Source organism: Homo sapiens, chromosome 14 (assembly GCF_000001405.40).
Source record: "Homo sapiens chromosome 14, GRCh38.p14 Primary Assembly".
In the NCBI taxonomy this organism is placed as follows: Eukaryota; Metazoa; Chordata; class Mammalia; order Primates; family Hominidae; genus Homo; species Homo sapiens.
This window is the reverse complement of record NC_000014.9, coordinates 56,973,580-57,001,465: the sequence shown is the minus strand read 5'-3', so window position 1 is coordinate 57,001,465 and position 27,886 is coordinate 56,973,580. Positions and strand designations below refer to the sequence as shown.

The 27,886-nt window shown below is 41.0% G+C and overlaps 1 long non-coding RNA gene and 1 pseudogene across 1 annotated transcript in view, besides 1 other annotated feature; one reads left to right on the top strand and one right to left on the bottom strand.

Moving 5' to 3' along the window:
• The window catches only part of LOC124903323 (uncharacterized), a 63,861-nt gene that overhangs the window by 16,219 nt on the left and 19,756 nt on the right, over positions 1-27,886 (top strand). The window lies entirely within an intron of this gene.
• Positions 10,430-10,617: a silencer, noted in NCBI's record as "fragment chr14:57457567-57457754 (GRCh37/hg19 assembly coordinates)". NCBI's record gives its function as "represses an EF-1alpha promoter that drives an FKBP-Casp9 reporter gene in an ReSE screen in HepG2 liver carcinoma cells {active_cell/tissue: HepG2}" and the evidence as "EXISTENCE:reporter gene assay evidence [ECO:0000049][PMID:32094911]".
• Positions 21,790-23,083, bottom strand: RPL3P3 (ribosomal protein L3 pseudogene 3; annotated as a pseudogene).

Sequence of the window (27,886 nt, the reverse complement as noted above, 5' to 3'; positions counted from 1 at the left end):
ATAATATAGAAATTGTTCAAAGGAGGTTTTTCACAAGGTGTAAAAGGATCTTGGAAGAAGGTGCCTGTGGGTAGGGTCCGGGGATTGTGGGGGTGGAGGGCAGTAAAGAACAGAGGGTAACATAAATGCTAAGACTTGAAGGTGGGAGAAAAGTTTTCTGAGTCTACTAGGATGTTCCTGACATAGGCAATAACATACCATGGAGGTATACCAGAACATAATATGCTCACTAAATATGCACATATATACATACATACACACATACATACATGCATGCACACATACGTAGCACTCCTTCCAGAATGGCTATGGTATAGAGGGTGTGGAGAGATGATATTGAACAGAAAGTCAGAAGCCAACCTTCAAGTTGCTTCTATGTTATGACATCTAGATCTTAGACAACGACAGCCATTGAAACTTTTTGGGAAGCAGCGATGTGATAAAAAGGGGACAAGATGGAGGCAAGGAGTTGAGTGATGATGGTAATTCATCACCTAGCCTGGTTCCTCAATGGGCCATGTCTTAGCTACTTAATAAACAGCAAATTGGAACCCTTCAGTAAATAGTTGAACTGAATGTCTTTAGCGGTTTGGCAAATAAAGATGGAGAGGAAGAAAGAAAGATAAAAGAGCTATTCAGACACAGAATTGACAGGACTTTGGATTTAAATGTATAAGTCAGGGAAAGGGGAGTACAAAGTCTAGGATTAGCCCAGGTGTCTCCAGCTTTAGAGGAGCAGTGGAGTCACCACATGACAGGGACTAGAGGAAGAGAAGCAGATATGCACAGGGAAGAGTCCAGTCTTGAACATGTTGTATTTTAGGTGGACAAGTGGAAATAATGACTGGAAACTCTGAAGAAGATCTAGACTAGAAGTATCATTTGGAAGTCACTGGTTTACAGTGTTTGTTGAAGCCACAGATGTGGTTAAAGTTGCCCAGAGAGAACAGACAAAGTAAGAACACTTGAGACAAAACCCTAGACAGCACCAGTGTTTTAGGGGTGGCTTCTGTGAAGAAGCAGCCTAATCTTAGAGTTGAACGCTGCAGGGAATAAAAAGAACTCTATGAAGATAACTTGTGACTACTGCCATAAGGCTCATGTTGACATCCACAAGATTTTCAGATACTGCAATAGTGTTATCTGGGTAAAACTACAAATCTTAGAATGCTACATCTTTTCCAGAATTTGAAATGGATGAAATATGAAAATAAGTTATAGTCACAGTTCATTTATAGGCTCCGGTAAGTTGAGAGCTTGGACTCTGTTTACTCTTGCCTCCCCTTAACCACTAGCTATTCCAAGATGCTTTCAGTTTCCACATATGCCATACCTCTGGGCTTTTGCAGCTGTTTTTTGTTGTTGTTGTTGTTACCCTGGGATGCCCCTCTTCTCATTACACCCTGGCATCCCTGCAACTCCCTACCCCCATTTGCTTAGTGGTGGCCATTTGTTCTCAACACCCATCTAAAGCACTCCCTCCTTTGGGCATCCTTTATCCCTAAGCCCCAGCACTCCCCGCCCCCAGAAGACTTAGTTGCCTCTCCTCTGGTTTCCTCCTCTGGGCTCCCAAAGCCCCTTGACACACTGGATAGTAATGATCAATTTTCTGGTCTGTTTCCCCCCCCACATTATAGATAGGTAAATGCTTCTTGCCATGCCCATACTCCCAGCACACAGTATGCACAATATACAATATCTGACATACAGCAAGCATCTGTTAAACATTGTTGAAAGGTTACAGAAATATGGAACTTTGGCCGGGCTTGGTGGCTCACATCTGTAATCCCAGAACTTTAAGAGGCTGAGGCAGGTGGATCACCTGAGGTTGGGAGTTCAAGACCATTAGGGGAATCTCCCTGGTCTTGGAATCCTATGAAGATCCTGAGGCAAATATTCTCTTTTGTTGTTGTTTGTAGGTCATGAGTAGGCAGTGGGGTGATGGAAGACAGCAAGGGGCTGGGGAGTAGTAAAAAGACATAGAAGCAGCAGCAAAGTTGTTGGCTAGCTCTTGTAGCATAAGTGATAAATATGGTAATACTGGCTGGAGAGATCACAGGAGAGGACACGTGTTGATTAAAACATCCTGGAGAGTCTCCAAAATGAAGTTAGATATTTAAAAAGAATTGTCCTCTTCTCAATATTATGCTTTGGCACCCCTTGTGGGTCCTTTTCTGTTGGTGGGGAGATCCACGCCCACACATTTTATTGTGTTTTCTGCTCTCCAGGCACAACAGACTATAATAGAGGTCAGGAAATCCCTGCTTTTGCCCAAAGGAGCCTGTCCCAGGGCAGGCTGAGAGATGTTATCCCAAGAGAAATCCAGCATGTGCAAACTTACCTATTTTCCAGTTTTTGCCAAAGCTTGTTCTAGAAAATAATAATGAGTGGCTTATCTTAACAGCCATGTGGGTCCTCAGTGGCCAATCAGAGGAGAGTGATTTTAGCAAGACAAATCTAATCAGCTAATATCAAGACAGCGGGAGGGAGGTGCATTCTAAGTAGAAGTAGGACTGTAGAAAGGAGGCAACTCTTCCTACAGCCATGGACAAGTTTCAGGGCATCTGAAGACAAAATGGCTTGAGGCTTAGTCATTGTTTAAAAGCCATTCCTCAAATTCCTTGTTTACTGTCAGCACCTTGAGTTGTGGGCTCTGTCACTTTAGCTGTTAATGGGACTAAACACTTATGCCAACAGATTAAGCCTTGCTGAAACATTAAGAAAATTGGCCCAAACAGAGTTTAGATGGATTGTTGTTTAGTGGCTGTTTCTTTTGGGTGGGGAGGGGGGTATGATTGTCCCAAGACAATGGCTTTTTGATACCAGTGAAATAGTGACAATTGTGTAAGAGTTACTGGTAGATTTTCTGCTAAAGGAAAGAGATTGTTAAAAAAGCAAACATTTAATTTCAGTCATTTGGACTGACTACACAGAATACAGATGAGACTTTCTGAAATTAAAACTGACAAATGCATTGATGTCCATCACAAGTCTTGGGAAGGTTTTTTTTTTTTTATAAAAAAGTTACAATAAATTTCCAGAAGAAATGAAAAATCACTATGCCTGTCATTGCAAAAGGATCCTCCAGGCATGTAGGTGATATTGAAGGTGGAAAACTTTTCTTTGTTACACTGGTACCTTTTAAGATTTGTCAAACCTATTTCTTGTCATTGAGAAGAGGAGCAGTGCCTGCACAGTAGATGTATTTAACTTCAAAAACAGTTTTTCAAGTCTTTCAGACGCCGTAACCCTCTTCATGTAAATTCATATATCTTTACTTGTCATGTCTTCTTAAGCAAGGATTTTTTAAAGTGGCTTTTAAAAATCTTTTTCCAAGAAAGAATCAAGAACAACTAAATGCTTCATTTTGATTCCAAGTCTTAAACTTAGTTTGGAAGGGGCTTTACATTAAAAGAATTAGAACACTGTTTGATTATTTTTATAATCAGAAAAAATATTAAAATCTTTCAGATTAAGACCTCTTTGTTGGGTCAAAATGGAATGGAAAGTTGAGTTTGAATTTGGAAATAAAAAGTTTGTACTCTGTGATGGTCTTTGGTATATGTGTCATGAAAAACACACGATTTGCATTTGTTTGCTAGGAAGAAGTAGATGGAATGATGAATGGCTGTGTTATCTATCTCACTAGCTCTCCTTACATTTGCATCCATGGCCAAGTTGCTTGTTCCATATTTATTATCATGAATCACACATTTCCTTTTGCTGGATACTTATTGGTAATTTTTACAACAGTTCTTATAAAAGATGGAAGAAAGGAAGGGAGGAAAAAAAGGAAGGAAGCAAAGAGGAAAGGAAGGAAGGAAAAGGAAAGGAAAGGAAAGAAAAGGGAAAAGAAGAGAAGAAAAATAGAAATCTGCAGTGCTTTCTCTAAATGCTAATATTCAGAGAGGTGCTGAAATTTCTGTGATTCTAATGTCTTTGGAAACTTCAAACTTGACTTTGATTAACCATGCTAATAACCAGCGTGCTTCTTTTTAGCTCTACTCCTAATGTCACTTCACCAGAACTGTAAAGACATGCTCATAATATTTGCTTTTCATCTAAATGAAGAAGGCAATGCTAAGCAAAAAAAGTATTTAGCAGTGCATATAGGATTGAAGCGATGATAATCAGGGACCCTGGTAATTGAAGCTTTTGGGGAGGGGGAGAGAACCTTTCTTCTGGATCCTTCAGTCTGTTTAATAGGATAAAATTAGCTTGAGTGGTTTGGTGTTTGAAGAGGATGTGATGTAATTGGAAGTGCCTCCTGGGTTTGCTGCTGGACAAAGCAATCAGGTGGAGACACGGGAGGGCATGAGAAGCTCTGAAGTACGCATCTCGGCTTCTGCCATCCTAATTAGCCTAAATTAGCTATGCCAGTTTTCTGCTTGCTTTTGAATTTCCCTGCTAATGCTACTTTCGGGGCTGAAAGGAAAGAAATATGAAATGCCCACCAAGCTCCTATCTAATAGACGATGACGGAGTCTAAAACTGGACAGTCAGGTTTTATTGTTAAGCCCTTAAAAAGGGAGTGACTCACAGGGAACACAAACGGGTATGCGGGGCACAAACCATAGGGATCTATGGACGTGGCCACTGGTCCTGTGTGATGAGGAAGTTTACAAAGCATCTGTCTGAAATGGATAATTTTGAGAATTTTCCACACATCACTCCAAGGCCTCACCTGAGTATTATAATATTGACTATTTAACTGGAAGTGAACTAGGTAGAACTTCTCACAGCAAACATGTTTCTTCTTAGATCAAATTTCAAAGTCTGGGAGGGCCAAAGGAGGCATTTGTGGGTGGGGGAGGTGCTGCCATTTTTAAATGTTTCAGTTCTGACCCCAGTTAACTGTAACTGTGCAACGAGATTTGCAGTACATTCAGAATAGTTTGCACAAAGCTATTTTAATTGGAGGAGTATTTGGGTAGAAATAAATAATATCTCAACCTAAAAGTCACAGATTCTTTTTTTTTTTTTTGATTGCCAATGAGTAAAACAAAATTCAATGGTGTATATACCAAATAATAAAAGCAAATAGGGGCTGAGTATGGTGGCTCATGCCTGTAATTCCAGCACTTCGGGAGGCCGAAGTGGGCAGATCACTTGAGGCCAGGAGTTCGAGACCAGCCTGGGCAACATGGCAAAACATCGTCTCTACTAAAAATGCAAAATTTTTCCAAGTGTGGTGGTGCACACCTGTAGTCCCAGCTACTCAGGAGGCTGAGGCACGAGAATCACTTGAACCCAGAAGGTGGCGGTTGCAGTGAGCTGAGATCCCACCACTGTACTCCAGCCTGGGTGACAGAGACTCTGTCTCAAAAAAAAAAAAAAAAAAAAAAGCAAATGGGAAATTACTTAGTCATTTTCTATAGTCATCCAACAAAAGCACAATTTTCTCCAAGTCTCTTGTCATTGGTCCTCAGAGATAAACTTTCAGTTACTCCTAGACAGGTGTTCTGAGTACAAATGTCATTGGGTTTTTCATTTAAAATAAGTAAACCCTGAACATCTAAAGGCAAATGTTCAAGATGAGTATCAAAAACACACACACACACACGCGCACACACACACACTACAAGGAACTGTGTACTTTATTTTATGCATTTAATGTTATGTATCAAATGGTTATTGAGCCCTACCATGTGGATGGCTCTGTGCTAGGCCCTGTAGGGGATGCCAGAAATCTCACCGGTATTTGTCAATGTTTCCCTGTAGAAAATGGCCAATAAACGCATTTTCAAAATTTTCTGAGAATGGCTAGAGAAAGAAGAGGTGGGTGGATCCAGGTTTTAGTGGATGTGAAAAAATTTGAGAGCCTCTTTAGGAAAAATTGCTGTCCCCACCAACCTTGGAAGGCACCTGTGTAAGTTACAGGCCCCAAAGCTTCACCTTTATTAGCTTCAGGGCGAATCTGCTTCTGGCCAGGACAGCTGTCCTCAGGGGCATCTGCTGTCCTCCTTACATGCTCAGGAGCCCTGGTTCCTTGCTCTTCAGAGACACAAACTTCATGATTTCAAAATATTATCATTTTGCAACTTGGCTTGGTAACTCAGAGAGTGGCCAGGGGCAATTGCAGACTACACAATAGGCATGGTTTGATTTGTGTCTGAAACATTAGCAAACGGATCATGTGAGACTGGGTGGTGCTCAGGTGGACATGTATGATACCCTGTAGTGTACTTTGCAATATATTGTGGTGCAACACTGCACATAGGCCCTGTTTGTTTGCTACAGCTCCTTAGGCCATTTCCAGGATCCCTTCACCCAGTGACTCTGGCTCTTGGCAATCGGGAATGGCATTGTTGAAAACTTTCCATTGTGAAATTCTGTGTTTGTAAAGTGCACAGAAGCCATGTGTTAAAATTACATACTGTTGTGAATGACTCACTAATTTTCAGACTTCAGTTTGTTTAGGAGTTAGGTTTCTGTGACACAGCTCCTTCCAGACCCCAATGCAATATTTTTCTTTTCTTTTTGAGACAGTATTTTGCTTTGTCACCCAGGCTGGAGTGCACTGGCACAATTATAGCTCACTGCAGCCTTGATCTCCTGGGCTTAAGTGATCATCCTGTCTCTGCCTCCTGAGTAGGTGGGACTACAGGCATGCACCACAATTTCCGGCTAATTTTTAAATTTTTTGTGGAGGACGGGATCTTTCTATGTTGCCCACGCTGGTCTCAAACTCCCGATCTCAGGTGATCCTCCCACCTCTGCCTCCCGAAGTGCTGGGACTACAGGCGTGAGACATCACACCCAGCTCCCCCAGTGCAATATTTTCATTCCTATTTACACATAGTACAATGCAACCTTAGTACTGGGCATCTAGAAAGGGGTGTACAATTCTCCATGCAAGCTTTATGAAAATTTTTAATTCACTTTGAATTCCAATTCTAATACCTAAATTTAATCTGCGGTTTATGCATAACTTTTATGACATCATTTCATTTAAATTGTGTTTAGTCTTCACTTTCAGAAGTCCTAAGATAATGGTGTTTATTGGTTCAAGGCTACACACAAATGCACATTGTGAATTATTTAATGTCACCAAATTCTACCCCCATGAATGGTTAAAATGATCAATATTATGTCATGTCTATTTTACTGCAACTTTTTTTAAAAAGTTAAGGACCTTGGTGGAGAATGACTGGGAGTGGGAGGGGCACAGCTCTGATGCCTAAGACAAACTGTGGACTTGTTATCTAATTGATGTGCTGTTGTTTAAGCACTGATTTTTGGACAAATAAATTAGCAATGATAGTCATATAGTTCTGCAAGAAGAACATCCATGCATTCATTTATTTAACATAATTCCTAGGTGTGACAGGAACAGTTCTGAATGCTGGAAATGTAGAAACGAACGTAAAAGAAATGGTTCTGCCTTCATGAACTTCCAGACTAATAAACCCAGTAAAGGAAAATAACAAGACCATTTCATATAATGTTAAAGACTATGAAAAAATAGGTAAAACCACAAAGAGATACTGCTTCCAATCTATTGGGATGGCTACAATTTTTTTAAACAGGAAAACAACAAGTGTTGGCAAGGATTCGGAGAAATTAGAACCCATAGGCATTGCTGGTGGGAATGCAAAACCATGCAGTTGAGGTTCCTCATAAAGTTAAACATAAACCTAGCATATTACCTAGCAATTCAACACCTAGATACATACCCAAGAGAATGGAAAGTAGAAACTTGAAGAGATACTCGTATAACCATGTTCACAGCAGTCTTAACAATATCCAAAAAGTGGAAACAGCCCAAGTATTCATCAACAGATAAATGGGTAAACAAAATGTTGCAAACATAAACAATGGAATATTATTTAGCCATCAAGAAAAATAGAATTCTTACACGGTGCTGCACCACAATGAGCCTTGAAAACATTATATTTAGTACAGAAACAGAAGGACAAATATTGTATGGTTCCACTATATGAGGTATATGTAATAGTCAAACTCATAGAAGCAAAAATACAATAATGGTTGCCACGGTTTGTGGGGAAGAGAGAAAAAAGGGCAGTTTTTGTTTAATGGGTAGAGAGTTTAAACTGGAAATGATTTTTTAAATGGGGGGTATTGATATTAATAGCAGTGATGGTTACACAACATTGTGAATTAGTTAATGCCACCAAAATCTACACTCATGGATGGTTAAAATGATCAATATTATGTTATGCATATTTTAACCACAATTTTTAAAAAAAGTCAAGGATCTTGGTAGAGAAAGACTAGGAGGGGGAGGAGCACTTGCTAAGACCCTAAGGTAGGAGCAAGCTTTTGAGGAAGCAAGAAGGCAGGTGTCCCTGGAGCGGAGTGTAGAAGGGCCCTGCTGGCCGAGCTGACTGTGAAGCCAAAAGCACAGACTTCGGTGCCCCTCACTCGCACAGACCCCTGCAAAGGAGCTGTACTGAATTTTCCATTTGCAATCTTTAATCCTCCTTAAAGAAGGGCCCTTATATTCTATAAACTTTAGTCTCCACAGAAACCTGGATCTGCTGCTGGGAATAAATGATAGAAAATGAGACCTGAACTTTAGCATTAGAGGAAGGGACGGTCATGGTAGATAAGAGTGACAGCTCACTTTTGTATATATTGTTGCTTTGGGAAATTAAATTTATGTGTTTATTCATATACTCACTCATTATGTTACTTATTCATTTGTTCAACAAACATTTATAAGGCCCCTAATGTTGTAGGAATTTTCCTTAGTTCAGCTAAAAACAGTGTCCTTGTCACATGACGATGAGAGATTAGGTTCGCACACTTTGAAGGGTGAGAAAAATGGAACTTATTGGGCAAAAAGGAAAAAAAAGGAAACGGGAACTCTCCGCAGACCGACAGTCCTGCTAGTACACGTTTCCCGCCTCGCAAATCGAATCTCAAATACCACGCAGGAAGAGGAGGGACCAAGCTCCTCCGCCCTGCAAACAGCGCGAGCTTCCGGAGGCTCCACCCAATTGCAGACTCCTCCCAGTGCGCAGGCTGGTCAGAGGTTTTCCCGGGACGCGTTTTTACTTGGCTGTCTCACAAACATGCCTACCGTACACTGAGCCTTGGAGGAGATAAAGAAGACACCCACAGCCCTAAGAAAAAAGAAACACCAAAGCAATTCTAATATAAAGTTTAGAAACATTTCTGAATATTGAAATATTGAACTTCTCATCACCCCACTGGATTGTACATTCTTGGAAGACAGTGTGTCCAGAATTAGTGGGTTCTTGGTCTCACTGACTTCAAGAATGAAGCCGCGGACCCTCACGGTGAGTGTTACAGCTCTTAAGGTGGCGCATCTGGAGTTTGTTCCTTCTGATGTTCGGATGTGTTCGGAGTTTTTTCCTTCTGGTGGGTTCGTGGTCTCGCTGGCTCAGGAGTGAAGCTGCAGACCTTTGCGGTGAGTGTTACAGCTCTTAAGGCGGGGCGTCTGGAGTTGTTCATTTTTCCCGGTGGGGTCGTGGTCTTGCTGGTTTCAGGAGTGAAGCTGCAAGACCTTTGCGGTGAGTGTTATGGCTCATAAAAGCAGTGTCGACCCAAAAAGTGAGCAGAGCAAGATTTATTGCAAAGAGCAAAAGAACAAAGCTACCACAGTGTGGAAGGGGACCCGAGCAGGTTGCCGCTGCTGGCGCCGGCAGCCTGCTTTTATTCTCTTATCTGGCCCCACCCACATCCTGCTGATTGGTAGAGCCGAGTTGTCTGTTTTGACAGGGCGCTGATTGGTGTGTTTACAATCCCTGAGCTAGACACAAAGGTTCTCCAGGTCCCCACCAGATTAGCTAGATACAGAGTGTCCACACAAAGGTTCTCCAAGGCCCCACCAGAGTAGCTAGATACAGAGTGTCGATTGGTGCATTCACAAACCCTGAGCTAGACACAGGGTGCTGATTGGTGTGTTTACAAACCTTGAGCTAGATACAGAGTGCCGATTGGTGTATTTACAATCCCTGAGCTAGACATAAAGGTTCTCCACGTCCCCACCAGACTCAGGAGCCCAGCTGGCTTCACTTAGTGGATCCTGCACCAGGGCTGCGGGTGGAGCTGCGTGCCAGTCCCGCGTCGTGCGCCTACACTCCCCAGCCCTTGGGTGGTCGATAGGACTGGGCGCCGTGGAGCAGGGGGCAGCGCTCATCAGGGAGGCTCGGGCGGCACAGGAGCCCACGGTGGGGGGAGGCTCAGGCATGGCGCGCTGCAGGTCCCGAGCCCTGCCCCGCGGGGAGGCAGCTAAGGCCTGGCGAGAAATCGAGCGCAGCGCCCGTGGGCCGGCACTGCTGGGGGACCCAGCACACCCTCTGCAGCCGCTGGCCCGGGTGCTAAGCCCCTCATTGCTCCGAGTGCCGGGCCCGCCAAGCCCACACCCACCCGGAACTCGTGCTGGCCCCGGTTCCCGCCCGCGCCTCTCCCTCCACACCTCCCCGCAAGCTGAGGGAGCCGGCTCCGGCCTTGGCCAGCCCAGAAAGGGGTTCCCACAGTGCAGCGGTGGGCTGAAGGGCTCCTCAAGCGTCGCCAAAGTGGGAGCCCAGGCAGAGGAGGCGCTGAGGGCGAACGAGGGCCGTGAGGACTGCCAGCATGCTGTCACCTCTCAACAGGACCTCTGGAATCATCACATTTTATAGCTACAAGGGACTTAAAATGTTGTTAAGTTGAACCTCTCATTTTACATCTAATAAACCCAGGCTCAGGGAAACTAGGTAACTTGTCTAGGACTAAGGAAATAATTTCTAAGACTCCAAAGTAGAAGGCAGTCCTGCCGGGCACCCAGGACTGATCTTGTTCCGCTATTCCATGCAGCCATATTGCCTTGGGCTCCTTCCAGGTCTCCTGCTTCCCTTTTATCCCGTACATTGTCTAATCTAGTGTTCCAGACATCATGAGCATTCTGTAAATAGGAATTTGGCAGTGACGGTCATGTGTAGATAGAGTGACAGCTCTGGAATTTCTACCTGGGATGGTCTTCTGGATTGCCATATGTATTTACTTAGCAACTGTCCTCACTTGGATAAAACGTCTATTTGGGTGGCTTGGAGGAGGCAGTTCTGATAGAGGTCATGGTAAATTCAAGTCTTCCAAGCCGCCCACCTCATTGCCACCATTGGGCAGATGACAGGGAGTTGCTGGCTCATGCTTTTGCTGCCTGCTGTACTTCTGTAACCCTTAATTTCCTCGTTACTAACATGGAGGTTGTTATGAGAATTATGCGAGATAATATATGCCAAGATCTTAGCACAGCACTAGGCACATAGTAAGTACACAATCAATATTAGCTTGTGTTATTAGTGTTACTGTTATTCATGCTGAAAACTATCCCTATGGATTTCAGTGAAGGAGACTTGTATTATGCTTCTTTTTTTCTTTTTTAACTGGGTCTCACTTTGTCACCAAGGCTGGAGTGCAGTGGCGCCATCACAGATCACTGCAGGCTCAACCTCCCAGGTTCAAGTGATCCTCCCACCTCAGCCCCCTGAGCAGCTGGGACTACAGGTGTAAACCACCATACCTGGCTAATTTTTATATTTTGTTTTTTGCGGAGGTGGCGGCTTCGCCATGTTACTCGAGCTGGTCTCAAGCTCCTGTGCTCAGGCACTCATCCCAAGGCCTCGGCCTCCCAAAGTGCCAGGATTACAGGTGTGAGCCACGGCACCCAGTTCATTGTGGTCAATATTCTAAACCTAAGATATTGAGTTTGGGAATTTATTTCTCCAAAATCTAAGGGATATATACAAATGAAATATGATAACTGATTAAGAAACCTTACAAATAAATATTGGCCATGATTCTGTCACCATTACCATTTAAAATCCACTCAAATTCGCATCACCCCAGCTCAAGAGTTACCCAAATAGTAGAGTAATTGAAAACCACATTCTGTGCCTGTCCTTATATAAATTGCGGTTTGCCCCAGGCTATTTCCAAGGCTGTAAATAGTTCTTAAAGATGAAACACTGACAGAAGTGCGCATTCAAGAGGCAGGATAATCAAGAAGGCTTGAAAATGCGTCTATTTGATTCCTCTCTCTTTTTTTCTTTATTACTCTTGTTAGCGGTCTATCAATTTTGTTGATCCTTTCAAAAAACCAGCTCCTGGATTCATTAATTTTTTGAAGGGTTTTTTGTGTCTCTATTTCCTTCAGTTCTGCTCTGATTTTAGTTATTTCTTGCCTTCTGCTAGCTTTTGAATGTGTTTGCTCTTGCTTTTCTAGTTCTTTTAATTGTGATGTTAGGGTGTCAATTTTGGATCTTTCCTGCTTTCTCTTGTGGGCATTTAGTGCTATAAATTTCCCTCTACACACTGCTTTGAATGCGTCCCAGAGATTCTGGTATGTTGTGTCTTTGTTCTCGTTGGTTTCAAAGAACATCTTTATTTCTGCCTTCATTTCGTTATGTACCCAGTAGTCATTCAGGAGCAGGTTGTTCAGTTTCCATGTAGTTGAGCGGTTTTGAGTGAGATTCTTAATCCTGAGTTCTAGTTTGATTGCCCTGTGGTCTGAGAGATAGTTTGTTATAATTTCTGTTCTTTTACATTTGCTGAGGAGAGCTTTACTTCCAAGTATGTCAAAACCACAATGAGATACCATCTCACACCAGTTAGAATGGCAATCATTAAAAAGTCAGGAAACAACAGGTGCTGGAGAGGATGTGGAGAAATAGGAACATTTTTACACTGTTGGTGGGACTGTAAACTAGTTCAGCCATTGTGGAAGTCAGTGTGGCGATTCCTCAGGGATCTAGAACTGGAAATACCATTTGACCCAGCCATCCCATTATTGGGTATGTACCCAAAGGACTATAAATCATGCTGCTATAAAGACACATGCACACGTATGTTTATTGCGGCATTATTCACAATAGCAAGGACTTGGAACCAACCCAAATGTCCAACAATGATAGACTGGATTAAGAAAATGTGGCACATATACACCATGGAATACTATGCAGCCATAAAAAATGGTGAGTTCATGTCCTTTGTAGGGACATGGATGAAATTGGAAATCATCATTCTCAGTAAACTATCGCAAGGACAAAAAACCAAACACCGCATATTCTCACTCATAGGTGGGAATTGAACAATGAGATCACATGAACACAGGAAGGGGAATATCACACTCTGGGGACTGTTGTGGGGTGGGGGGAGGGGAGAGGGATAGCATTGGGAGATATACCTAATGCTAGATGACGAGTTAGTGGGTGCAGCGCACCAGCATGGCACATGTATACATATGTAACTAACCTGCACAATGTGCACATGTACCCTAAAACTTAAAGTATAATAATAAAAAAATAAAAAAATAAAAATATATTAAAAAAAAAAAGAAAATGATTAAGGTGTTACCGTCAAAACAAGACCTGAAGCAAAGTTTGCACTTCTCTCTTGAACACTGACCAACTTGTTTATTTCCCATTATGTGGACAATTATATCATTGCTTGCTCTACTAATTTCAACTTTTACCCAATAAAAACTAAATACTCTTGTCATGCATTTATTTTCTCCTGAACTGAAACAGACTTAGGTATATAGAATGCGTAAGATAGTAAACTCCATGGGAATATGGGAAATGCTTTGCGTATTTCTTGAGAGGAGGAAAGTTGTGCTGACTCATATTACCTTCTTCCTAGGTTCACACAGCTCCTCACTCTGCAAGTGTTTGTCCCTAGAATAGAGGTGAAACTTGAGAAGCACCCACTGTCTGTTTGCAGTGGAGAAAATGTCTATGGAAATATTAGCCTGCATTGCTTCAAATCTTGACGGGGCTTGAGGAGACAATTACAGACATTATGCAAAAACTGTCTGACATATCTGTGGCTTTTCTTTCCTATTTCCAGACTTTTTCCTTTATACATTTAAAACCTGGGGTTCAATTTGCAACACAGCACCAATCAGGATAAATTTCTTTTGCAAAAGCTACAGGTGGCTTCTCTTAAACATCAAGATAAGGTGTGAGTTACTTGAACACTTACCAAATTTGTAGGACGCAAGCTTATTGAGTAAGTAATTCAGTAGAACCAGTTAGTAAGTCACAGCCAGGAGGCAGGAATATCAAAAGGTAGTGGCAAGTTTCGTTTTTTATTGTTTTTAGGTGATTTACAACTAATTTAGAACTTGCTTCTGAAGATGGCTTACAACTTAGAAGCAGCGAAAGTTTCTAATACATTAAGATATAAATTCAGCCGGGTGTGGTGGCTCACACCTGTAATCCCAGCATTCTGGGAGGCCAAGGTGGGCGGATCATCTGAGGTCAGGAGTTTGAGACCAGCCTGGCCAACATGGTGAAACCCTGTCTCTACTAAAAATACAAAACCGGGTGTGGTGGTGTGCGCCTGTAATCCCAGCTACTTGGGAGGCTGAGGCAGGAGAATTGCTTGAATCCGGGAGGTGGAGTTGTCAGTGAGCCGAGATCGCGCCACTGCACTCCAGCCTGGGCTACAGAATGAGACTCCGTCTAAATAAATAAATAAATACATGTATATAAATTCATGGTGATCTCTATTATATCACCTCATCTTACATTCTTTGCAGCATTTATCGCCATTGTCCATAAACCTTTTGGTTTACTTGTGAGTGGGTTGGTTTATTGTCTGTCTCCCCAAGCTAGAAAGGAAGCTCCATAAAAATAGGAGTCTTGCCTGTCTTGTTCACCATTATGGTCCCACCACAGACACAGCACCTGTGGGCCCTCCACGAATGTTTGCTGACTCAATCAGCCTGTACTTCAGTAGAGACGTTTAACTCAAATTATGTTCAAGAGCCTTGGGGGTCCACAAGTGCAATGAGGTTAATTTCATTGCTGCAGTTCAAGAATGGAGTTCCTCCCGCTTCCCCATTGCCAGGAAAAAAAAATAGTTAATTTATAAAGCTTCACAATTTATAATTTTTCTCCTTTACATTTCCCATGCCTTGGTTTTCTGTGACTTCCTAATCAGTTTGCAATCAACATAATGACAAGCAAGTAGTAACCTGATACTGTTAGGAAATTTGGAAACAGACAACGGCACTAAATTTAGCAGGTTCTAAATATGCTTGTAATCTATTTACCGCAATTAAAAAATAGTTAAAATTAGAATATGGATTAAAAGTTTATATTTAAAATAGTTTATGGAATATATATATATATTTATAGTTCTGGAGCTGGATGGTGGTGATGGTTGTACAACAATGTGAACATATTTAATGCCACTAAGCTGTACACTTAAAAATTGTTAAAATGATGAATTTTATGTTACACATAGTTTACCACAATTTTTTTAAGTCATTAAAAAATATATATAGCCAGTAACTACTGAGTAATTGAAATGTGGCTCATGCAACTGAGGGACTGAGTTTTTAATTTTATTTAATTTTGATTCATTTTTATTTAAATCTAAATAGCCACATGTGCCTAGCAGCTACTGTATTGAATAGTACAGGGCTAAATGCCTGAAGAATTTCATTGAAATAATGCATTTTAGCATGCTAATTTTAAAAGTTATCATTTGAATGGATTTTCCCTTGCTTTTTGTTTTCTAACTTTTTGTTATGAAATTGTCAATCTTACATAAAAGTAGGGAGAATACTATAATGAATATCCACTTGCTCGTCATCGAGATTTAGCAATTGTTAATATTTTGTTATATTTCCCATAGTAATTTTTGAGATCCAACTACTCTAATGAGTTGAGGCCAAAGCTCTGAAACTGAAAAGGGCTTAGTCTGACATCCATCTCTGGACTCAAAACCAATTCCATCAGCACTGCCCTTCCCTATTGTTAACTAGTTACATTTTCATTTTCATATTTTCTAGGTAATGGTGCCAGAAATGCTAATAATATAATCACAGTTATTTGTGAACACATTCATAACTTCTAAATTCATTTCAGATTTGAGCTGGGATTGTTTTGCTATTAGATTGTGACTTCTTTGGGTGGGTGGGTGCTAACAGTAAAATGTCACCAGTCACTGAGTGTGTGACACCTCAAATGACACACAGGTGTGACCCAGCAAGTATGGCCCAGAGGCCAGATTAACTGGTTCTTTAAAATTTATATTCACATTTAATTTGGCCTGGAGGTATGGCTATAAAATAGTGATAGCTATAAGACACTGTGACAAGATGCTTTAATATAACGATGTAGTTGTGGTTCTCAGCGTTACTGTGATTATTGAGAACAGCTGAATTCTAGCTTCACTCTCTTCCTTTGGGGTTGTCCATTGGCATGGTTAGAAAGCTGGTTAATAGCGAGTCAAACTTGTGCAACTAAAATGGGGCAGGAGAAAAAGCACCATGTCCCAACAAAGCATCTAAAAAATGCGATTCCAGAACCACAGGGAAACAGGCAACTCTACCCAGATTTCTATAATGAGTCTTCATATTTTTATATAGTAACTATGGTCTCATGGAAAGAAGGTAGAAATAGTACTGTGGACAAACATGCGGCCCTGGCAAGAGACTTCTTAGTTTCAAATCCTGGCTTTGCCACTCATTGATTGTGGGCTTTAGCCAAGATACTTAAACTTCCTATAACTCAGTTTTCTCATCCATAAAATGGAATTAATAATCACATTAAATGAGATACTTAGCAAGGTATGTTGCACATAATGTGTGTTCAATAATAAATTATGCCACATAACATAAGAGTATTCACATTTTAAAATATAATAATAGCTCTTTGAGGAAAATACCAAATAGGAATAGTTTTATATTGTCTTTATAAATACAGTCCTCATGATCTGAGGAAAATCACATTCCAGGAGACTGGATATAGGAAGCAACATGGAAGGGGCAAAAGATATTTGTCAGTGGTCTCTATAGTTTTCTAGAAGCAGCCAAATGATAGATAATTCTAAAATCCAAAAAAAACTCTGAAAACAAAAATTTTCACAAGTTTTCAACAAAAATTCATTTGAAGGCAAAACCTAATCTGAATTAATATGACACTATGTAACACTATGTATGTCTTCTTTTTTTGTTTGTTTGTTTTAGAGATAGGATCTTGCTCTGTCTCCTAGGCTGGAGTGGAGTGGCACACTCATAGCTCACTGTAACTTCGAATTCCTGGGCTCAAATGATCCTCCTTCTTCAGCCTCTTGAGCAGCTAGGACTACAGACACATACACCATATCTGGTTAATTATAAATTTTTTTTGTAGAGATGGAATCTCGCTATGTTGCTGAGGCTGGTCTTGTTGCCTGGTCTCAAGTGATTCTTCAGCCTCAGCCTCCCAAAGCACTGGGATTACATGTGTGAGCCACTACAAGTGGCCTTATGGTCTTCATTTATCCCACTTAGGGTGAATACTGTTATAATTTGTTGCAGTTAATTATGAGGTGCTGCTCCAGACTTCAATGGAGTTATTCCATAAGAAGCCGTATATGCATCATATCACCTTCAAAATCAAAAGAAACCTGAATTCCAAACCATATCTGGCCCCAAGAATTTGGGGTATGGAATTCTGGACCTCTGCTCTGCTTAAATTCCATTGGCCAAAAGTTAGTCATGGGTCCACTGTTAGCTACAGGGCACCTGGGAAATGAGGCCTTTATTCTGAGCAGCCAAGTGCACAGCAAAAATCTATCGCAATGGGATGAGGAAGACTGGACATTGAGGCCCAACCAGTAGTCTCTGACACAATCTCACTTGTTTTCTCCAAAGCTTTATCCTAAAACATCCTCAGAACCTCCTGAATGGGACCAGAATAAATAGGAATTGTCCATTTGGTCTTCTGTAAGCAGCCTAGACTGACTTCAAACGACCCAGTTCTAGTTTCAAAAGACCCAACATGGTTGGTTACCTTTACTCCTATGGAATGCTATCTTGGCTTCTCAGGTGAATCTATAGCAGTTCACAATTCTTCCCCCTGCAGAACCACTTCAATCTCACAGATATTTCCTAGTCTTCCAGTAAATTCAGGACTAGACCTTTGGTTCCAACTGGCCAGGGTACTTACTAGTTGGGACCCTTCAAATGGACTAATTGTGAATGTCCCTTCAACTTTTCATGGTAGAAGAGTCAGGACATCCCATGAGCATGTCGAAGAAACTCCTGAAAAGGAATATTCAGATTCAAACGTTGTCTGTTTGAATTCATCAAACTCCATCAAATGCAAATTTTACTTCTCTCAAAAAAAAATAATTCAAATTCAACAAATTCAGCTCTGGCATAGAGATATGTTCTAGGAATATGGCATAAAGATGTGTTCTAGGAACCATGGAGAATAAAAGATGAGTGTTTTTTTCTGCTTATTGCAATTGGACACAAAAGGAGGAATTTTCGGTGAATGCTGAAAGAAGAAAAACAACTTAAAATTGGATTTTATTTTCAACTTGGAGGCTACAGAACTTCAGTCTATGGTACATATTTTTAATAAATGGGTGAGGTTGATATTATGAGAACCCAAAACCTGCCAGTTCTGAAGCCTAATTCCTAGTCATTGGCAAAATCTAATTTTTCCTCAAATAAAGATGAAATGCAAGATGAGCAAAAAAGAGGTAGTCACAGACAATAACAAAACAAGATTCAGCCTCTGGCTTGGGTGCAGTAAACTGTAAATAGATCAGTGTTTTATAGTTGTATGAGAGTTGCTTAGTTGGCCTCTGGAATCTTGCTTCATTTTATGCATTCCTTGTTGATTCTATAAGAGTGTGCTTTTTGAATGTCCTGTAGTTAATTTATCAAACAAGGATGCCAAACTTTAAGTATTCCATGGGTTCTTTTTAACTTTAAATGGAGTTTGTGCAACTGTTCCAAGTAGGTTTAAATAGATAAGTATTCTGGGGAGTGTCAATTTTATTCAGCCTAAAAGCTAAGTTAACATAAATGGAAAAATAGATGGTACCTTCTGCATTTTCATACATTTTAATGGCTAGTTCCTATTGATTGCTGTGCCTCTTTTTGCAGGTAAAGGAAAAATCAGACATCACAATGTATATTTCCTTGCAATGGAAAGTTATTCTGATCATACCTTACAAATGATCCATACTGATATAAAGTTTACAGTGTTGGGAGGAGGAGGAAAGAATGAACTTAATTTGAATTTAGAAAGTCTCTAAATGATAATTGAATCACAAGTCTGGATTATAATTCTAGGAGCAACACTTGACTTGGTCAAAATCACTGTTTTGAAGAGATGCAATTTTTACACAGTACTTCACATTGATTAAGTAATGTGTGAAAATGAAAAAAAAGTATTTGAATCTTAATCACAGTCATTTGCATGAAATAAAAGTCTGTGTCAAGGGAATGCACATTATAATAACTCCTGGGTGTTTTGGTTGCATCAGTGAGCAAAGAAGTTGTATGCATTTTTTTCACGCTGATATACAAGAATTCCTTTTATATTTATTGTATCTTTGATTGTACAGAAATTTAGCAATATAGGATTTTGGTTGGCAAGAGACGACAACTGATTAACTACCTTAACAATAGCTGTAATTAAAACAGATGTTTGATAATGCATACACTCGAATTAAACTGGGAACGTTCACAGACAGAAAAGAGAAATAGGAATTTGATATGAACCTCATTCTCAGTAAGGCTGTCCATTAGATGGAAAGGTAATAAATGAGAGAATGAACTTCAGAAAAATTCTGCCCATCTCTTTACTACATATTTTTCTCCCTATGGCTGTATGCTTGGAATACTTGAAATATAGACAGACACCTAAGCTTCTTGCCCATGTGCACCACCCCCAAATCATATCTGAGACTGGTCTTCAAATCTACAGATCCTATTTTTCTGCACCGGCACCTGTTAATACCTCCAACTTAGCCTCTCTGTTGAGAATCATTGGAGTCCAAAGTGCCTTCCAACTCTGGAGCTAGACTCCCTTCTGCCTTCTTCAGACCCCCCAATAATTGAAATCATCTGGTAATAACCTGAAATCTCCTATTTGGGTTGATGTGCATTTCCTATGATGTTGAGTTAATTTTTTTTCTTATTTTGACAATCCCCCTCTAGTTTTAGGCTGACATTATCTGGGAATAAAGGAGATTTTGGTCTCTGAAGCTTTTCATCTTCCCTGTTTTGTGGAAGAGAAAAAGAGACTAAGTAAGAGTTTTGATTCCTGAAGAGGCTGAAAATGCCAAAATACAATAATAGCTATTTTCAAAATATATAAGTCTAATTGTTCAACCTAAGTCAGAAGAAGAAAGTTGCTGGAAAGATCTCTGCCAGATATTGGCCATATTAAGGGATAAATGTGAAGCAGAGATAGGATGGTAATGGATGCAATAATGCATTTATTTAGAATTGAATAACAGTAAAAATAATAATTATAATAACAAATGTTTCACTAAATAAAACGGAGTAAAACAATACAAAAAAAAAGACTACCAATTCAGTAACAGCAGAAAACAATTTTGTGCTCAATCTCACCTTTAAGGAAGAAACAGACACTGAGAAAATGAAGGCATCAATAAAGTTTCAAAATAAATGTACTGACAGTAATGTACCGAAGTTGTTACACACTCAAAAATTAGAAACACTCCAAAATACAAGCTTGCTTTCTTGACAGTGGCATTCATTCAACTTCATAATCTAGGAGTTTGCCTTGATTCTTTACCCTTTGTCTTCTGGTGAATAGCAGAAACTTCACAATACCTATTGAAAGAAACAGTCCCTCTTTCCAATCTTGCAAAATCCACTTCCTTTTTTCAGAAAACATGCCATGTGGCTGCACACCTTCGTACGTATGCCTCTTCCACCAGCCTTGTCAGGCCCTTGCACTTCCAAAGATAGTATCCGTCCTCCTCTTCACCTCTCCAGAATCCCCCACTTCTCCAACCCTAATTCAGGTTCTATCCCTTGCAAGGTTTCTATGACCACTCCAGGCAGCGGTAGTTTCTTCCTTCTTCGAGCTCCTGTTGCATCAACAGAGAATACTCCCTAGTTCAGCACATACTTACCTTTGTAATAGTTTGTAGTTTTTCTCCCTCCCCAGTTATAAGCTCCTTGAAGATGAGAAAGATATCCCAACTTCCTTCCTTCTTTCCTTCAACAAATTTGTATCTAGTACCTACTTGGTACCAATGAGAGCCTTCCTAGATTTCTCCTACAGCACTTAGCAGCATTGCAGCCTGGAGTAGGCATGAAGTACATGCGTGTATTGTTTGAAGACATTTATTAAGCAGCTTTCTATCAGCCTGGATGATTCAACTTAACTCATCTGCTCTTTCCTCCCAACATATATTTAACCCATTCTTTTTAACCGAAGATCAAATCTTCAGTACCATCACCAAGCCTACTGCGTTCTTTCTGATAGAGGGAAGCAGATAGATTTATGCCAGGCCAGCAAAAGCCTGTTTGTGAAACTTGTTTCTGTTCTTAGTTCCACTTGACTTCCTTTGTACTATTGCTCAAGACACTTAACTTCTTATGCCATCATAATGTCCCCTTCTGTAAAATAGAGACAATAATATATGCTGTGCCACCCCCAACACTCCCCACGGTGAGGGTTAATGAGATAATGGCTGTAAAACACCTTAAGCTCTTCCAAGGAAGGTGCCATAGTGTGGAAAAAAGTAAAGGGTTATTATGTAACTAATCACATTCAAAATACAGGTTGCAAATGGACCTGTGGAGTTTTGAAACAAAGCTTCAGAGAGACAGGCTAATGCTTCACTTGCCCTGCAGGACCAGGCAGCATTTCTGGAACTTTCTCTTACATAAGTTAACTTTAGAAAATACATTTTAATTTGTTTTTTAAAGGGGTTGGTGATTTATGCCTGCAAAACAAAGATGAACTCACACAGCAACAATGCAGGTCCCTGCTGTTTGAGGAGATACTGCCTTTTTTTGTTGTTTTTGTTTTTATTTTTGTTTTCCAGTGGATAATAACTTTTATTGAGACCCTACCAGCTGCAAAATCTGTTCCTGGCATTAAGCTCTTTCTTCCTTTGCAATTTGGTCTTTCTTGAGTCGTCCCATGGATGCTTTCTTCTCCTCCATGGTCTGCAAGCGGCCATGGCCAAACTTGGAGGTGGTGTCAGTGAACTTAAGGTCAGTCTTCTGCAGAGCCCGCTGTTTGGTCTGCACCAGCAAGGACTTGCGGGGAGGGTGAGCACTCGCTTCTTGGTTCCTACCACACAGCCCTTCAGCATGACAAAGTCATTGGTCACTTCACCATAGTGGCCAAAGACACCCAGAGGGTTGATGCTCTTGTCAGACAGGTCATAGTCAGTGGAGGCATTGTTCTTGATCAGTTTGTCATCCTTGATAAGGTAGCCCTGGCCAATCTTATGGATCTTCTTATTGATCTCAGTGTGGTGACAGTAGCCTTTCTGCCAAGTGCGTGCCACAGAGAAGGCCACATGGACAAGATGCCATGCCCCAATACAGGACACCTTGCGTGGGCCTTGGTGGGTCTTGCGGGGCAGCTTCTTGGCGTGCCAATGACTGGTGACCCCTTTGTAGCCTTTGCCCTTTGTCATTCTGATGATGTCAATCATCTCATCCTGCCCAAACACATGGTTCACAGGTAACTGCTGCTCAAACCTCTCGCGGGCCCAGTCCAGCTTCTTGGCCATGGTGTCTCCATTCACCTGGATCTCCATCAGGTGGGCCTTCTTCTGGTGCAGAGGAAGCGGTGCATCTGAGTGTGGGCAATGACATGGATGACTTGGCAGTACTTCTTCATGCTGCTGAAGTCCTTCTCCAGCTGCTTCTTGCCATTCTCATCCTGCCATTTCTTGCGGTACTTGGTAAAGGCCTTCTTCTTAGATTTATGCCAGTTCTTATAGAAGCGCCTCTTGCACTCATCACTGATGTGCTCAGCGAAGACAGTCTTGAAGGTCCGGAGGCCTTGAGGGGTTTCCACATAGCCCACAATGCCCACAACCATCATGGGCAGTGTCTCTACAATGGTCACAGCCTCTACCACCTCCTTCTTATTCACCTTGGATCCTGGCCTGTCAACTTCCTGCACGATGTGAGTCATGCCAGCCTTGTATCCCAGGAAGCCTGTGAGGCAGACTGGCTTGGAAGGGTCATCCTTAGGGAGGCTCTTCACCTTCCCACAATGCCCACTGCTGCACTTCTGGGGCAGGAAGCTGAGGGACCCGTGTCTGGGAGCGAAGAACTTTCTGTGAGACATCATGCAGTCAAATTCCACTGGTAGAGCGAGATACTGCCTTTGAATTTACATACAAGCCAAAAGAAAGTAAAGTCTAGCTTGGCAGAGCCCATCTCTCCAGCTGAGAATACCTTCTGACCTGGAAGCTCTGTGAGGGCAGGAACTGATTTCTTGTTCACAATTATATTGCCATCACTGCAAATAATGCCTGGAATGTAGTAGAGTAGAGCTCAACAAATATTTTATGTTCTCTGTATTACATGAATGAGTCTGGCTTTATTGCATGAATGAACCCATGGAAGGAGAGAAGGAGGTAAAATGTGGGCACTGGTAGGTCCAACACTCTCTTATTTGAAGAAGGTGCTCAGGGGTTATATCACTCACTGGGCTGGCTGTGTAACAGTCACATTTTGTGGGCACTACCACTGGCTGCTCAAGCCCACAGGGCTAGGAGGGTACAGGACCAAAGGTCATTTTAATCCCACATTCTAATGGAATGTGCAACTTCGGATGTGCCAGGTATAAGTAGGAAACATGCAAGGAACTTGAGCATAGAGGATATTACTCATCCTCCAATATTTTTGTACACATTTTGGTCCTGGATGCTACCAAAGAAATCTGATTACTCTAAATACATGTGGAGTTAGAGTAGCCCATGGGAGGAAAAGAATAGGATTCGGTCTTACCTTTTTCTCCCCATCAGAGGTTCAAAGGTAGTATGATAGATCTGATAAACCAAGTGGCTACGACTGAGGCCACGTTGCAAGAACAGAGGTGCACCTGAGGAAGCTCACCAGGTGAGAGGAGTTAGCGGGGGCCGAGGACCACTCTCAACCCCAGGGCTTGGGTCATGAGAGTCAAGCTGATTCCAGACACAGTGCACAGTGGGTACTAGTGTGCCCAAATCACACTACAGTAGCACTGGTCATACAGTTTTAAAAATAAAGCTGGATGCTTATAATGCGAAACAACAAACGTGCTAAACGGTGATTTGCCATCTAAGAAGTCTTAATGCAGAGAAATGTTCTAGTCCTTTCAGGCTGCTCTAACAAAATACCAGAAACTGGATGCCTTATAAACAACAGAAATGTATTTCTCACAGTTCTGGAGGTGGGAAGTCCAAGATCCAGGAGCCTGCTGATTTGATGTCTGATGAGGGTCTGCTGTTTGGTTCACAGACAGCTGTCTTTTTGCTGTGTCCCCACTTGGCCAAAGGCACAGGGAGCTCTCTGTGTCTCTTTCATAAGGGCATTAATCCCATTCATGAGTGCTCCCCCCTCATGACCTAATCACTTCCTTAAGGCTCCGTCTCCAAATGCCGTCACCCTGGAGATTAGGTTTCAACATATGAATTTGGGGAGGGCACAAACATTCAGTCTACAGTAGGAAACAAGGAGAAAAGGAACATCTTCCCCTTCAAGGGATGAAACTGCTTGGCCTCAATGATTCAGTGGAGGCCTCTGTGGGAGCCAGCAGGTGTGGAGAGAGTGAGACTGGAGGCCACCAGGCCAGGCACAGTGGCTCATGTCTGTAATCCCAGCACTTTGGGAGGCCAAGGTGGGTGGATCACCTGAGGTTGGGAGTTGGAGACCAGCCTGACCAACATGGAGAAACCCCGTCTCTACTAAAAATACAAACTTAGCTGGGCATGGTGGTGAGCAGCTATAATCCCAGCTACTCGGGAGGCTGAGGCAGGAGAATCGCTTGAACCCAGCAGGCAGAGGTTGCGGTGGGCCAAGATCACGCCATTGTACTCCAGCCTGGGCAACAAGAGCAAAGCTCTGTCTCAAAAAAAAAAAAAAAGAAAAAAAAAAAAAAGAGTGGAGGCCACGAAGGATCTGCAGGATAATGTCACCATAATTATATATGTGGCAAGAAAACCCAAAGGAAGGGACGGAGGGAAGGAGGAAGGAAAGAAGAGAGGAAGGAAAGAAGAAAGGAAGGAAGATAGATAGATCTGGCTTCAAAAAACTATAAAAATGCCAAAGACAAGGCTTTCATTCAAAAGTGACAGCCTGGTTCACCCTGTAGTGGGGAGCAAAGTGCAAGTGCAGATTAAAAGCAGAAATGGATGTTCCCCTAATGTGGCAAAAAGGCCTTGACCTGTAATACCAGATTGTCAACAAAAATCCTCAGAATGTATGTGTGTAAGAGAGGGTGAGAGAGAAGGTTTTCCCACTTCAGCTATTTAGGTCCTGTGCCTTCTCATCACTCCCTAGAGGCAGTTGGAAAAGAAGGAACAAAAAGCACCAAAGTACATACATCCCAATGCCCAAGTTAATTTCACAAGAGAAAAGCCTAATAAAGCCCAAGTAAATAAGAAAAATGAAAAGAATCTACCCAGGAAATTTAGGGGAAGATCACAGGCCAGAATATAAAACATTCCTGGGTTAAAAAGAGAAAAAAGTTATGTGACCTATGCAATGATTATTATTTAGGAAGGAAGGAAGGAAGGAAGGAAGGCTAAATACATGTAAAGAAGAGGCACATTCAAAAGAGAATGAGAATCAGTAGAAAATTTGATAAAACAAATGGCTGACACTTTAATATAATTAAAGAGAACACAGGCTCTATGAAAGATGATATCAAACATAAAAAGACAAGAAAATAATGAAATCTAAAGGAAGCGGGCAGAGGTAAAGGAGAAAATAATTTCATTGCAGAAATAATAAATGATTTAGGCTGGGCATGATGACTCACACCTGTAATCCAACACTTCAGGAGACCTAAGTGGGGGAGGATTGCTTGAGCCCAGGAGTTTGAGGCCAGCCTGGGCAAATAGTGGGACCTGGTCTCTACGAAAAATCTTAAAACAAAAATTAACCTGGTGTGGTGGTGGATGCCTGTAGTCCCAGCTACGCGGGAGGCTTAGGTGGGAGGATCACTTGAGCCCAGGAGGTTGAGGCTGCAGTGAGCCATAATCCTGTCGCTGCACCCCAACCTAGGTGACACAGTGAGACCCTGTCTCAAAAAATATATAATAATAATAATAAATGATTTAGAAACATCAAGTAAAATTGCAGAAAACTGAGTTTGTGATTTTGTTGATAGATGAGAAAATCACACAGAATGAAGAGGAAAGGGGAAAAATTGAAAAGAAGTTACAAAGAAGTTAGTAGATATGGAAGGTAGCCAACCTAGTTACAAAATACAGATAATTGCTCTTCCTAAAGTCAAGGAAAAAAATATTCAGATGTAGCAGAGAGAAAGTTTCTGATATCACAGAAGAGTGGAATTTTCAGATTAAATTAATTAATATATCATAATTAGTCCAAGGCATATTTCCTGCTGAAATTACTAAACTTCAAGGATAGAAAAAGAATTCTCCTAACACCTAGACAGATGAAACAAATCAAAGAAGGGAAATACCAGGCTGGCTTCAGACCACTCCATAGCAACATTTGAGGCCACAGGACTGGGGAGCAATAACTGACGAATTTTAAGTGGAAAATCATGGGGCCCAGAGAAGTTGTTGTCCAACATGTAAAGATAACAACAAAATTCTCAAATACGTAAAGATTCAAGAGACATACTACCTATAACTTCTTCCTTAAAAAAATTATTTGATGATATAATCTACCCAATTAAAAAATAATTCAAAATTAACTTGGAGATGGAAAAGCTTTGTCCTAAGGACTCCTTATGTGTCCTAAATAAATGTGAACACACTGAATGAAGTCTAAATAGTGATGCTTATTACACCTAGGTAATTATCAAATATAAAGTCAATCTTTAAAACCTTCAAATCAAAGCTAAATAATATTTTAGAAATAATAATAGATTCAGTGTCCTATAGCTATTAACAAAAACAGAAGGCTAAAGAGAAAGAAAATCTAAAAATATATAAAGCGGCTGGGCGCAATGGCTCACACCTGTAATCCAAGCACTTTGGGAAGCCAAAGCAGGAGGATCGCCAGGAGTTCGAGACCAGTGTGGGGAACAAAGCAAGGCCCTGTCTTAACAAAAAATTTAAAAATTAGCTGGGCATGGTGGCGTCTGCCTGTAGTCCCAGCTACTCCGGAGTCTGAGGTGAGAGGATCGCCTGAGCTCAGGAGTTCCAGGCTGCAGTGAGCTGTGAATGCACCACTGCACCCCTGCCTAGGAGACAGAGTGAGACCCTGCCTCTAAAAAGAAAAAGAAAAAAAAAAAAGATGTAAACTGAGCAAATTTCCTCATCTTCAACAAAGGACTAATAGAAATTTTAATTTTTTAAATTGATAATTGAGAAATATAGGCATACGTACATTATTACAAGTTGTAAAATTCACTGCTAATAGAATAAAAAACAGTGTCTGCATTCAATAATATAATGCTGGTAGGGCTGGTTGGAGGAGGGCTAAAGGGGTGGAAACACTGATTACTTACAGTAGGAGATCTTTTATCCGGAATTCCAAGGACTTAACCTGTTCAGATTAATGACAGTATACATATGTACCTTCCAAAAGAGCTGGGTAATCAAAGAACAAATTTGAGTATATAAATGTAGTATATAATAAAGGAAATAAGTCAAGTTAAGAAATAAATAGTCTTTAAAAATGTATATACTTTGAATATCTTTTTATTATAAATAATATATCATGCCAAAGAATTGAATATTAAATCGCTTGTCATAATTTTGCATCAGTTTAAAACATCGGGCTTACCTATAAAAGCTAGCATTGTGCACTATAAACATAATAAATGTGTTTTACTTAATTCCTTTGTGAAATGCACTCACATTTCCTTAAAAATGTAGGGAAGGAGATAGGAATATAATGCAAGCATATAAATATATAAAAGTTACATTCACCAAGAAATTCTCGTTGATCTTCATATAGTGGCAAAAATCACTCATTATCAGGATATGTTGT